The 13,665-nt window shown below is 50.1% G+C and overlaps 1 protein-coding gene across 9 annotated transcripts in view, besides 3 other annotated features; it reads left to right on the forward strand.

The window, feature by feature from the left end:
• Window positions 3,194–3,633: a silencer, noted in NCBI's record as "silent region_8402". NCBI's record gives its function as "represses an Ori minimal core promoter by ATAC-STARR-seq in GM12878 lymphoblastoid cells {active_cell/tissue: GM12878}" and the evidence as "EXISTENCE:reporter gene assay evidence [ECO:0000049][PMID:35858748]".
• Window positions 3,453–13,665, forward strand: part of ADAP2 (ArfGAP with dual PH domains 2) — a 37,378-nt gene continuing 27,165 nt past the window's right edge. For 4 of the 9 annotated variants that reach the window (NM_001346712.2, XM_024450834.2, XM_024450832.2 and 1 more), the window contains exons 1-4: window positions 3,453–3,616; window positions 4,448–4,578; window positions 8,317–8,426; window positions 13,397–13,476. In NM_001346712.2, coding sequence (NP_001333641.1) covers window positions 3,523–3,616; window positions 4,448–4,578; window positions 8,317–8,426; window positions 13,397–13,476 — 415 coding nt within the window. In that variant the 5' untranslated portion in view covers window positions 3,453–3,522. The remainder of the gene's footprint in view (window positions 3,617–4,447; window positions 4,579–8,316; window positions 8,427–13,396; window positions 13,477–13,665) is intronic. The other 5 variants (NM_018404.3, NM_001346716.2, NM_001346714.2 and 2 more) reach the window with 3 other exon arrangements.
• Window positions 3,774–3,823: a silencer, noted in NCBI's record as "silent region_8403". NCBI's record gives its function as "represses an Ori minimal core promoter by ATAC-STARR-seq in GM12878 lymphoblastoid cells {active_cell/tissue: GM12878}" and the evidence as "EXISTENCE:reporter gene assay evidence [ECO:0000049][PMID:35858748]".
• Window positions 3,984–4,143: a silencer, noted in NCBI's record as "silent region_8404". NCBI's record gives its function as "represses an Ori minimal core promoter by ATAC-STARR-seq in GM12878 lymphoblastoid cells {active_cell/tissue: GM12878}" and the evidence as "EXISTENCE:reporter gene assay evidence [ECO:0000049][PMID:35858748]".

The following is a 13,665-nucleotide window of genomic DNA, read 5'->3' on the forward strand; positions in this document are numbered from 1 at the left end:
CAATTATAAGAAGAATTCTGGGGATCTAAGGTGCAGTATGGATGGGGATGGATGTGTTCATTAATGCGATTGTGGGAATCATTACACAATGTGCACATATGTCAAATCATGTACACATTGAATATATACAATCTTTCTTTGTCAATTAAATATTTGTTAAAATAGTGGGGATAATTGCACAACATTGTGAATATAATTGAATGCAATCGATGACATAGTATTGTACACTTAGAAATGATTAAGATGGGTGGGGCATGGTGGCTCATGCCTGTAATCACAAAGCTTTGGGAGACTGAGGCTGGAGGATTGTTTGAAGCCAGAAGTTGGAGTCCAGCTTGGGCAACAAAGCAAGCCTCTGTCTCTGTGAAAATAGAAAAATAAAAAAATTAGCCAGGTTTGGTAGTACGTTCCCATAGTCCCAGCTACTCAGGAGGCTGAAGCAGGAGGATCACTTGAGCCCAGGCATTCAAGGCTGCAGTGAGCTCTGATTGTACCACTGCACTCAAGCCTGAGTGACAAAGTGACCCCCTTGTCTCTAAAGAAAAAAATGGTTAAAATGGCAAATTTTGTGTTTAGATTTTATCACAATTTTTTAATTTATATATATTTTTCTTTTTTTTTTTTTTTTTTGTTTTTTTTTTGGAGCAACCTTATTAACCGAACCACAATTTAAGTAAAAAAAGAAAAAAAAAAGTCCAGAATGCACTAAAGGGAGGTTTCATGAAATCACCTGGGACTGACTGAGCCACAGTAGGAGATCTGGATTTAGGCCCTGTTCCGCTTCTTATTTGGCTCCATGACCTTGGGTAACTTAAATCCTCTGAGGCTCAGCTTTCTCTTCTGTAAAGTGGCCTGATGTGATGCTGCCCTCTGAGGGTGTCATGAAGCTAAAATATGATCAAATGTGTGACGCTCTTGTAAAAAAAACACTCAGTAATTGTTCATTAGCATTGTCCTACAACCACCACCACCAAAAAAAAAAAAAAAAAAAAAAAAAGAAAGAAACAAAGAAAAGAAAAAAGAAGGGAAAAGAAAAGAAAGCATTATAAACAAAATACCAGAGTACATTGTTTTGCTCTGAGGATGCCTGAAATGCCACATTAAGGCTGTTTGATGGGAACCTCCAGAAATAAGGAAGGGAAGAGGGGAAACTAAAGGAATCTCTCAATCTCTGGCTCCTCACTATGAATGAGATACTGTATGTTCTCTTGGATTGGCTATTTTTTTTCTTTTTCTTTTTCTTTTTTTTTTTAATTTTTTTTTTTTTTTTTTGAGACAGAGTCTCACTCTGTCGCCCAGGCTGGAGTGCAGTGGTGCGATCTCGGCTTACTGCAAACTCCGCCTCCTGGGTTCATGCCATTCTCCTGCCTCAGCCTCCCAAGTAACTGGGACTACAGGCGCCCACCACCACACCCAGCCATTTTTTTGTATTTTTAGTAGAGACGGGGTTTCACCGTGTTATCCAGGATGGTCTCGATCTCCTGACCTCGTGATCCGCCCCCCTCGGCCTCCCAAAGTGCTGGGATTACAGGCGTGAGCCACTGCGCCCGGCTTTTTTTAAAGTTTCTGAGATTCAACCAGAGCCTACTTAGAACTGGGTTGGCTTTTGTGGGACCTACAGGGAGGTGGCAGTGAGACCTAAGGTGTCAGAGAAGCAAAGGAGCACAGACTGGTGAAGGCTCGGGTGCCGAGGAAGCACCCCCAGCATCACAATTTTGTCCCAGTGTTGGGCAGAGGAGAAATGTCCTTAGCTTGTCTCCTCTTCTCCCTCTCTCCCTCTTTCCTTTGCCTTCATACCTTAAGTTGACTTTCCCATCTTTCTCCTGGGAGATTTATTTCTGTCCCTTTTTTCATCTAAAGCAACGGAAATGAATCATCTTTCAGCCGGTTTAATAAACAGCCCCATGCCCCCTGACCCCAGCTGACTCTCTCACTGGTTCCTCTGTGGCTGCTCCTGGGCTAGGCCTCACCCCCTCACAGGCAAGACCCCCTCATGGCTGGCTATTCTTGGTAATACTCTCCACCCTCCCTTCCTGCTCAGTCCTGGCAGCTTGACCTCCTCCACCCCAGGGATGACGGGAATCACACACAGCATTCCAAGCGACAATTCCACAAGCTGACCATAGGGGCAGGGGAAGCAAGGAGGCCACCATGTTTGGAGGGTTTCTTTGTGCCATTTCAATGACCCTATTAGTGGATCTTACGCTCTCCATTTAACAGTTGAGGGTTTGGAGGCTCAGAGAAGTGAAGGAACTTGCCCAGAGACAAACAGTTGGGAAATGTGGAAATGAAGGAGTCAACATTTAAAGCCTGAATTTCTGGATTCCTGAATTCATTCCATTACACCATATTGCTGTGCGTGTGTGTGCACGTGTGTGCTTGCGCCCGCATGTATGTTGAATGGGAGTGTGGGCAGGTCAGCTAGAACATCAGCTGCAATTCACCAGGATGGAAACCTGATTTTATCCTGAAGGTTAACACCTGTCTATCATATGCATATGGCTTAATGCATCTGTGTGCATTAAGGTATTAACCTACATAGAAGATGGCAAGTATGTACAGTATATATTTCACCAGGAGGCCCATGAGTCATTGCAGATGATGTCAAGGAGTAACGAAGATGATGTCAAGCAGTAACAAAGATGGGAGAGAGGGAAAGAGGAAATGAAATGCCCACATTTAAGACCACCTATACCCTGCCTTCACCTCGCGGTGATGGAACTTCACAGGTTAAAGTGCCTGGCTGTGTCCACCTTGGTGAAACCACACTTTTCTGGTGAACAAAATCATGCAACTATTAGTTGGACTTCTAAAAATGTGCAGGTATCATTTATAGGAGCAATATGGAATACAGACATAAAACTGCTGACGTCAAACTCCCTGGTGTGGACATGTGTATGTGTCTGCGGTCAGAGAGTGGAATTAACACAAGTATATAAATAACCGTGATGCAAGGTAGATAGAAAGTGCTCAGGTCCAAAACAAATAGACAGATACTACAAGAGTATTCTTGGAGACCCAGAGGCTGGAAAGATTACTCCAGGCAGGGTATCACAGAGGGCTTCCTGAGGAGGTGGCATTTGCATATAAATACGTCTCCAAATAGATGTAAGATCTTACATTAACAGAACGCTTTAACAGAAGTTAGATTCTGGTTAATTTTCCAAGAAGCGCTGAGATGCAGACATATGCCCTTGTTCCTCTTTCATAGACGCGGAAACTGAGACCCACAGAGGTTGAATAGGTTGTCCACAGTCTCGTAGCTACCAAGTGACAGGCCACGATTTGATCTCAGGCCAGTGTGTTAAACTCCAATTTGCGTGCTCCTGTCCCTCCCCGCGCGTCGGCGGAGCTCGGGGCCGGACTGGACCTGCCGAGGGAGGGGCGGACAGTCCTGACGGTGCGGGGCGGGGCTGGCGGCTGCCCAGGCCTGGCTGAGGCGCCGCGGCCGGGTCCCTCTCCACCTGCCGGGCGGAGCGCACGGGCCATGGGCTGAGCCCCGCTGAGCCCGCCGGGCCGGCCATGGGCGATCGCGAGCGCAACAAGAAGCGGCTGCTGGAGCTGCTGCGGGCGCCGGACACAGGCAACGCGCACTGCGCCGACTGCGGGGCGGCAGGTAAGGGCGCGGCGGCGCGGGCAGCGCGAGACCCCCGGCCGGACCCCAGGCCCACCCGACTCCTCCCCTCGGCCCCACCGGGTCCCGCCCTCGGCCCCCTGGACCCAGACGTGGCACCTGCGGGCCCCGACCCCTCCCACCCACACCGTGAACCTCTCACCCGAGCCCCGAGGGCCGTCTCCACCACACCCTGCCCCGGCCCCTACGAGCCCAGGCTCTGCTCCCCTCGCGGGACCAGATGCGCATCTTCCCACGTGCTTGGACCCGGACACGAGAGCCGGCAGCCTAGAGCCCTTCCAGTCCCGCTCTCTTCCCTGGCCAGGCACCCGACCGCCCGAGTCCGGGCTCTCGATGTCTGCGCACCCAGGCGCGCCCCACGCCCTCGGACTCAGACATCCCAGCCAGGGCTAAACGTCGGGCCCAGGCCGCCGACAGTCCTGTGCCCCCTGCCCGCTCCCAGACGCCCCCCGAAGGCCTCCCCAGCGCCCCACCTCGGGGACGCCGAGGGCCCCCTAACTCAGCCTCCCCACCTGCAGCTCCGCGCCGAGCCCCGCGGTGCGCCCCCCGCGCCCTCCTCTCGGTTCCTTCTGAGTCCCTTCACTTCCACGTCGCGCAGCCTCAGACTCTCTCCCCGGGCCCTGAACTGCCTCCAGGATCTTCACCCCGGTCGCCGCGCAGCGGCCGGTGGGCTAACCAGAAGGTGCCAGGCTGGCCGCTTAGTTCGCCTTAGGTGGGAGAAGGGGCGCCCCACCTGCCCCAGTGCCCCGAGCCCAGCCCTGGTTTCTTCACCGCGCTTTCCGCTCAGCTCCTCTCCTGCCTCATCCCCTGCAGATCCCGACTGGGCCTCTTACAAGCTGGGGATCTTCATCTGTCTCAACTGCTGCGGCGTCCACCGTAACTTCCCTGACATCAGCAGAGTTAAATCTGTGCGACTTGACTTCTGGGACGACAGTATTGTGGAGGTAGAAAGGCATGCCCGTGGAGAGCCATGGAACTGCGGGACTGGAGTAGAGGCAGCGGGCAGGGGGCTCCCATTCTACAGAGGGGGAAACTGAGAACCAGAGAGGGGCAAGTCTAGCTAGAGGAAACACAGCTTATAAGATGGCAGCTTAGACAGAGGCCGAGAGTTCAAATTCTGGCTCTATCATTTGCTTACTTTTTTTTTTTTTTTTTTGAGACGGAGTCTCGCTGTGTTGTCCAGGCTGGAGTGCAGTGGAGCAATCTTGGCTCACTGCAACCGCTGCCTCCCGGGTTCAAGTAATTCTCCTGCCTCAGCTTCTCAAGCAGCTGGGATTACAGGCGCCTGCCACCACACCCGGCTAATTTTTTTGTACTTAGTAGAGACGGGGTTTCACCATGTTGGTCACGCTGGTCTCGAACTCCTGACCTCAGGCGATCCACCACCTCAGCCTCCCAAAGTGCTGGGATTACAGGCCTGAACCATCCTGAACCGCTCCTGGCCATCATTTGCTTACCTATAAGCTGGGAGGCCCTGAGCTAGGTACTTTGACCTAGCTGTGGACCCTCAGTTTCCACATCTGTATTCAAGGGATACCACCACCATTTCTCTTTTTTTCTTTCTTCCTTTTTTTTTTTTTTTTTTTTTTTTGAGACGGAGTTTCACTCTTGTCGCCCAGGCTGGAGTGCAACGGCCAATCTCGGCTCACTGCAACCTCTGCCTCTTGGGTTCAAGCAATTCTCCTGCCTCAGCCTCCTGAGTAGCTGGGATTACAGGCACCCACCACCATGCCCCGCTAATTTTTGTATTAATTTTTAGCAGAGACGGGGTTTTGCCATGTTGGTCAGTCTGGTCTCGAACTCCTGACCTTGGGTAATCCACCCTCCTCGGCCTCCCAAAGTGCTGGGATTACAGGCGTGGGCCACTGTGCCTGGCCACTACCACCAATGTCACAGCACTGTTGTGAAGATGATTGTAGGCTCAGTCCAGACACAAAGAAAGCTGTCAGTTAACAGTTGCTGTTGTACGGGTGTGGTGGCTCACACCTATAATCCCAGCACTTTGGGGGGCTGAGGCTGGTGGATTGCTTGAGCCCAGAAGTTCAAGAGCAGCCTGGGCAACATGGTGAAACCCCGTCTTTACAAAAAATACAAAAATTAGCTGGGTGTGATGGCATGCGCCTGTCGTCCCAGATACTTCGGGGGCTGGGGTGGGAAGATCACCTGAGCCTGTGAGAGTGTGGCTGCAATGAGCTGAGATCGCACCACTGCACTCCAGCCAGGGTGAGAGTGAGACCCTACCTCAAAAAAAAAAAAAAAGTTGCTGTTATCATTAGTGAAGTCTTGGACTGGGGGAAGGGAAATAACCTGATTTGTGGTCTAAAGTCCTCCTTTCCCCCTAGGCAGAAAGAGGACCACTTTGCTCTCCTGCCCTCTGGGGGTGGAGGATACCCTCAGCCTGCATGGTAATTCCATTTTGGTCAGAAAACCTCCAGAGAGCAGGCAGTTCTGCACTGTGCGGGTTGGCTGAGGGTTTCCAGGACTATTGGGGAAGCAGGCTGACATTTACTGAATGCCTACTCTGTGCCAGGTACTGTGCTAGACAGCACCGGACTGGAGGCTTTAGTGTGACCTTACTAAGTGCTGGGTCTTGGGAGAGAACAATGAACAAGATAAGGTCCCTGGCCATACAGAGCTTACATTCTAGTGTGGGAGAAAGGCTGGAAACCAGTAAACCAGCACATAAACCTGAAGGATTTTATTTGCACCTTATAACTCCCATGTTATATTTTCTTTTTTGTTTTTTTTGTTTTTTTTTTTTTTGAGACGGAGTTTCACTCTTGTTGCCCAGGCTGGAGTGCAATGATGCGATCTTGGCTCACTGCAACCTCTGCCTCTGGGGTTCAAGCGATTCTTGTGCCTCAGCCTTCTGAGTAACTAGGATTACAGGCATGCACCACCATGCTCGGCTAATTTTGTATTTTTAGTAGAATTTTTACTAGAGACAGGGTTTCACCCTGTTGGTCAGGCTGGTCTCAAACTCCTGACCTTAGGTGATCCACCCGCCTCGGCCTCCCAAAGTGCTGGGATTACAGGCGTGAGCCACCGTGCCCAGCATTTTTTTTTTTTTTTTTTTTGAGATGCAGTCTCACTCTGTCACCCAGCCTGGAGTGCAGTGAGTGGCACGATCTCGGCTCACTGCAACCTCCACCTCCTGGATTCAAGCGATTCTCCTGCCTCAGTCTCCTGAGTAGCTGGGATTACAGGCGCCCGCCACCATGCCCGGCTAATTTTTTGTATTTTTAGTAGAGATGGGGTTTCGCCATGTTGGCCAGGCTGGTCTTGAACACCTGACCTGAGGTGATCCACCTGCCTTAGCCTCCCAAAGTGCTGGGATTACAGGTGTGAGCTACAGCGCCCAATCCTCTGTTATATTTCCTTCTTCTTCTTCCTCCTCCTCCTCTTCTTCTTCTTCCTTCTTCCTTCTTCTTCTTCTTCTTCTCTTTTCTTTTCTTTTCTTTTCTTTCTTTCTTTTTTTTTTTTGAGACGGAGTCTCACTCACTCTGTTGCCCAGGTTGGAGTGTAGTGGTGTGATCTTGGCTCACTGCAACCTCCTCCTCCTGGGTTCAAGCAATTCTTGTGCCTCAGCCTCCTGAGTAGCTAGGATTACAGGCGTGCACCACCATACCTGGCTAATTTATTTATTTATTTGAGAGAGAGTCTTGCTCTATTGCCTAGGCTTGAGGGCAGTGGCAAAATCTCGGCTCACTGCAACCTCTGCCTCCCGGGTTCAAGCAATTATCCTGCCTCACCTTTCTGTGTCCTGGCTAATTTTTGTATTTTTTTAGTAGAGACAAGGTTTCACCATGTTGGTCAGGCTGGTCTCAAACTGCTGACCTCAAGTGATCCCCAGCCTTGGCCTCCCACAGTGCTGGGATTACAGGTGTGAGCCACTGTGCCTGGCCATTTTCTTCATTTTTACGGGTGAGATTCCAAGGGTCACTCATCAAATAAATGGCAGTCAGGATCTGAATCCTGCTCTGTTGGGATCCAAAGCTGGCGACACAGCCTAGCGGCCCCTGCAGAGGAGAAGAGGAGCAATGCTCCTCTCCTGCAAAGGAGATGCCCAAGCGATGTGAATTGAAAACCTGGTGTTTCTTCCCACTTCTGCCCTCACCCTAGCTATGCCACTGCTGCCAGGGCCACTTTTGGTGCATCAGCCTCTGGGTCTCTTGGGTGCCAAAGGGCCCTACTAATCATCCTGACCTATGCACTCCATGAGGCGAGCACCCACTTCTTCCATCCTCCAGGTACATTTATCTCCTGCAGACTTTCAGGGCTGCTAGGGGTCCTGGCCATCTGTGGAAGGCATGATAGGAAGAATATGAGCTTTGGAGTCAGGTCTGGGTTCAAATCCCAGTTCTCCACTTATAGCTGTGTTTCCTTGAACAAGTAACCTAACCCGTCTGAGCCTCAGTTGACTCATCTGTAAAATGAGTACAGTGATATGAAAATGGCTGAGAGGACCCAGTGAGCTGATGTGTGAGCACTGTGGAGTCCTGTGCCCATATGAGGCATGGTTATATCTGCCCATGATTGTTACAGGCTGGGGCTTCCCAGCAGTATGGATGACCAAGCCCGGTGGGACATCTCCTTCTTGGAGGCAGTTTCTTCTGACTCAGCCTAAGTCAGTGGCCTCATAGTTTCATTTCACGTTTTTTCAAGTTCTAATATTACCTCAGGTTGCTGTTGTCTTGCAGTTTATGATCCACAATGGAAACCTCCGTGTGAAGGCCAAGTTCGAAGCCAGAGTCCCAGCTTTCTACTACATCCCCCAGGCCAACGACTGCCTGTGAGTGGGTGATTCCTTAGGGACTGGGTGAGGGGTCTGTCCTGGTTCCACCTCCTCCCCCTCTCCATCTTTGGTGTCTTCATCTGTGGTGGTCTCTTCTATGGGCCTGGTGCGCAGGTGGATCCAGGAAAGCACTGGATACCATCACAGAGAGCACATGGGAAGACTGGTATAAGCCTCTTTCTGCCTCTGTTGCTTGGGCGTGTCTCTTCCTTTCTCTGGGCCTCAGTTTCCACAGCTCTTAAATGGAGGATTTTTCTGTATGATCTCTATGATTTTTCTCTATGATCTCTGCCTGTGACATTCTTGTAGCTTACAGATGGTGGCTAACTTGATAAGAGGGGGTAAACACTAGTATCTTACTAGACCAAGTGTGTTTCAGCTACTTCCTTTAGAGAAATATGTCTAGAGCTGGCCAGGCACGGTGGCTCAGGCCTGTAATCCCAGCACTTTGGGAAGCCGAAGCGGGCAGATCACGAGGTCAGGGGATCGAGACCATTCTGGCTAACACGGTGAAAGCCTGTCTCTACTAAAAATACAAAAAAAATTTAGCCGGGCGTGGTGGCGGGCACTGGAGTCCCAGCTACTTGGAAGGCTGAGGCAGGAGAAGGGTGTGAACCCGGGAGGCAGAGCTTGCAGTGAGCCAAGATGGCGCCACTGCACTCCAGCCTGGGCAACACAGCGAGACTCCGGCTCAAAAAAAAAAAAAAATAAAAGATAGAAATATGTCTAGGGCTCTGCCACCTAAGCTCGGGCTGGCTCTAAACAACTTGCCTGAGCTGCAGATCCCTAAATACTAACCATAAAAATAAGAATAACAGCCAGGCACAATGGCCAGTGCCTGTAATCCTAGCACTTTGGGAGGCTGAGGTGGGAGGATCGCTTGAAGATAGGAGTTCAATGTCAGCCTGAGCAACATAGCAAGACCCTGTCTCTACAAAAAATAAAATAAAATGAACTTAGCCAGGGCATAGTAGCACGTGCCTGTAGTCTGAGCTACTAGGAAGACTGAAGTGGGTGGATTGCTTGAGCCCAGATTGCAGTGAGCTAGGATCACATGTGTCACTGCACTCTAGTATGAGTGACAGAGTGAGACCTAGCATTAGAAAAAAAAAAAAAGTAGCTACTGGCTGGATGCGGTGGCTCATGCCTGTAGTCCCAGCTACTCAGGAGGCTAAGGCATGAGAATTGTTTGAACCCGGAGGCAGAGGGTGCATTGAGCCAAGATCACGCCACTGCACTCCAGCCTGGGCAACAGAAGGAGACTGTCTCAAAAAAAAAAAAAAAAAAAAAAAGGCCGGATGTGGCGGCTCACACCTGTAATCCTAGCAATTTGGGAGGCCGAGGCGGGCGGATCACTCGAGGCCAGGAGTTCAAGACCAGCCCGGCCAACATAGTGAAACCCCGTCTCTACTAAAAATTAAAAAATTAGCTGGGCATGGTGGTACATGCCTGTAGTCCCAGCTACTCGAGAGGCTGAGGGAGGAGAATCGCTTGAACCCGAGAGGTGGAGGTTGCAGAGATTGCACCACTGCACTCCAGCTTGGGCAACAGAGTGAGACTTTGTCTCAAAAAAAAAATTGCTACTAATATTATTGAGCTTTGCTTAAGTACTACGCCCTGTGCAAAATGCTTATGTGCATGTATTTATTTAATTCTTTCAACAACCCTACAAGTACTGCTACTATCCCTATGCTATAGATGAAAAAACCTGAGGTTTGTGGAGGCAATACTGGTCTAGCCTGTCTGACACCAGGGCCAGGGTGACTGTTTCATGGAATTGGGATAATTTTATATAAGAGGGGGGCTTTGAAGCAGCAGGAGGGTTCAGGTCCCCTGGAGGTGAGGGTTAGTGTGGCACTGGTACCTAGTGGCCCTGGACCTCTGCAGATCTGACTGCCTGAGCCTACGACTCCTTCCCAGGGACTTAGACTCCCCACCAGGGCTGCTAGACAGTATCTTGTGTAAATGGGGAGAAGGAATCCCTTTAGGCTGACCCAGCCTCATAGCGGGTATGTCTGGCAAACAGAAAGCAGCTGCATTTCAGCTGCCGAGCCTCAGCAAGGTGCTTTTGGGCAGTACACAGACTATATAACCATACCTAGTGGTCTTGTAATTTCTCAGTGCTTAGACAATTAAGAGCTAGTAATGTACTCTGGAGTGGCTGGGGAAGCACAGCTTTCTACTTGGAAGACCTCAGTTTTGTTTCCTAGCTCTACTGTGACCTAGCTGGGAGGACGTGGGCAAGTCAGCAAATCTCTCTGATTGTCAACATCCTCATCTCTGAAATGTAGGCAATGATGCCTGCATCATAGCATACTTGTAGAGATTACATGAGATAACTTATGTAGAACCTTTCACATGCCACCCGACACACGGGTTTGAATCCATTTCACTGTGTCTGCTTCAGAATGCTACCTGTCCATGGCCAGCTGTGGGGTGTGCTGACTCGAGAGGGCCTGTCTCATCCTGGCTCGCTGCTGCCACTCTGTCCTTTGCTCCAAGTGCTCAGTGAACACGTGCGCTGTGCTAGGCTTCCTGCCGGCACTAAACAGACATTACCCACCATGACTCCAGCAGCAGCCCTGCACTTTAACCCTTTTTGTCTGAGTACTAATGGCCACCTTCAGGACCAACATGGGTGGCCCTTGGTCTCCATTCCTTCTCCCTGCTCTGATCTTGTGTCCCAGGGTTTCCACCCTCATGGTGGGCCAGGTGATTCTCCTCAGTGATCTGTGGGCTGTGCACTAGGAATGACTCTCTCTCTCTTTTTTCTTTCTTTCTTTTTTAAATATAGAGACAAGGTTTCACTCTGTTGCCCAGGCTAGAGTTCAGTGGCACAATCATGGCTCACTGCAGCCCCAACCTCCTCGGCTCAAGTGATCCTCCCACCTCAGCCTCCCAAGTAGCTGGAACTACAGGTGCATGCCACCATGCCTGGTTAATTTTTGTATTTTTGTTTGTTTTTATTTTTGTAGAGATGAGGTTTCATCATGTTGCCCAGGCTGGTCTCAAACTCCTGAGCTGAGCTCAAGCCATCTGCCTGTGTTGGCCTCCCAAAGTGCTGGGATTACAGGCATGAGTTACCATGCCCAGCCTGGACTCTTGATTGTAAGCGACAGAAACCTTATTTATTTATTTATTTATTTATTTATTTATTTATTTATTTTTGTGACAGAGTCTTGCTCTTTCACCCAGGCTGGAGTGCAGTGGCACAATCTCAGCTGACTGCAACCTCCACCTCCTGGGTTCAAGCGATTCTCCTGTTTCAGCTTCCCAAGTAGCTGGGATTACAGGCACGTGCCACCATGCCCAGCTAATTTTTGTATTTTTGGTAGAGCCGGGGTTTTGCTATGTTGGCCAGGCTGGTCTTGAACTCCTGACCTCAAGTGATCTGCCTGCCTTGGCCTCCCAAAGTGCTAGGATTACAAGTGTGAGCCACTGCGCCTGGCCAGAAGCCCAGTTTAAACCAGCATTAAAAAAAGAGGATTTTATGGGTTCTGGGGATCAGACTACCTGAAGGACAGTGGTGGAGCTGGCCTCAGGAAGGACCAAGCCAGGAGCTCACACACCATCAGGTCTCTCATACTCTCTCTGGCTCTCTTTCCTCTTTCTCTCAGACAGGCTTCCTTCACACAGCTGGCAGCAAGGCCACAAGCAGGTGCCAGGCTATACCTTCCAGCGTGACTCTGGAGAAAGCTCCATCAATCTCTCCTTCACTTTTGACCCTCTCAGTCCACACAGCCCAGAGCAGCAAAGAGCTCTGAATGACCAGGTTGGGCCAGATGCCCAGCTCTAGGTCATTCCTGTGGCTATGGGGTAAGGTCATATATACCTTGGAACACTTCCCTGGAAAAGGTGAGCAGGAACCAAACAATTAAAATAACTCCACTCTCGGCTGCATGGTTTTTCTGCAGGACTCACGGATGACAATCTCTGATTGAGATCACATTAAACACCTACTATGTGCTGAGTAGGTGCTAGGCCCTTTATATACATTTAAACCTCTCAACAACCCTGAGGGCTAAGTGAGTATAACAATAGAGGTCTATTCCCCAAATTCAGAGGAGTTGGGTAACTTGCTCATGGTCACACAGTGGATAAATGATAGAGTGAGACCAGGTCCCAGGTGGTCAGATCCTAAGACGACTGCTTTGTCCAGTGTAGCCTGCCCAGACTTCATGGGCAGGTACAGGAAGAGGCTCCTGGACTCTCCTGCCTAAGCTCATGAACACACAGTGGGAGCAGGTGGTGTAGATGGTCCAGAGGAGCCAGTATCTGTCTCATTGACCTAGAGAGCTGATACTGGGATTGGAACAACTCGGTGGTTCTCATATAGCCCACTGGGAGAAATATTTCCCCCAGAGGACATTTGGCAATGCCTGAAGACATTTTTGGGTGCCACAACTGGGGAGGGGGTGCTACTGGCATCTAATGGGTAGAGGCCAGAAATGCTGCTAAACATTCTGTGGAGCATGGGACAACCCATAAGACAACAGAACAAGGAATTATCCAACCCCGAATGTTAACAGTACTGAGGCTGAGGAATCCTAGGTAGCTGGAGCAGGCAGTGAGGCACTGCTGTGATGTTCCCACCCTCAACTGCAGGGTCTTGGAAAAGAATGCATCAGTCCAGGCATGGTGGTAATCCCAGCACTTTGGGAGGCTGAGGCAGGAGGATCGCTTGAGCCCTGGAGTTCAAGACCAGCTTAGGCAACATAGGGAGACCCCCATCTCTACAAAAATTTAAAAATTAGCCAGGTGTGGTGGTGCCTGCCTGTGATCCCAGCTACTTAAGAGGCTGAGATGGGAGGATCGCCTGGGCCTAGGAGGTCTAGGCTGCAGTGAGCCGTGATCACGTGATCACACCACTGCACTCCAGCCTGGGCAACAGAGGGAGACCCTGTCTCAAAAAAAAAAAAAAAAGAGAATGCATCAAACGCAGCTGACCTCAGGCTCTCTCTTTTTAGGGTCTTAAAGGAACAATGGATTCGAGCTAAGTATGAGAGACGGGAATTTATGGCTGATGGGGAAACCATCTCGCTCCCAGGTAAAGTTATTTCCATCACCTTTTGAAATCTATGTTTTAATGAGCTCTAGAAAAACCAAGTGCCTAAATATTAGGAGCAAGATCCATCCAAGAGATGCCTGCTGTTCTCACTGTGGCCGCAGAGGCCAAGGTGTGGGTTCTTCTGACTTTGAAATAACAACACATCAGCTGGTGGGGCTTTATGCTCTG

The sequence above is a fragment of the Homo sapiens genome, chromosome 17 (genome assembly GCF_000001405.40).
Source record: "Homo sapiens chromosome 17, GRCh38.p14 Primary Assembly".
Classification (NCBI taxonomy): Eukaryota; Metazoa; Chordata; class Mammalia; order Primates; family Hominidae; genus Homo; species Homo sapiens.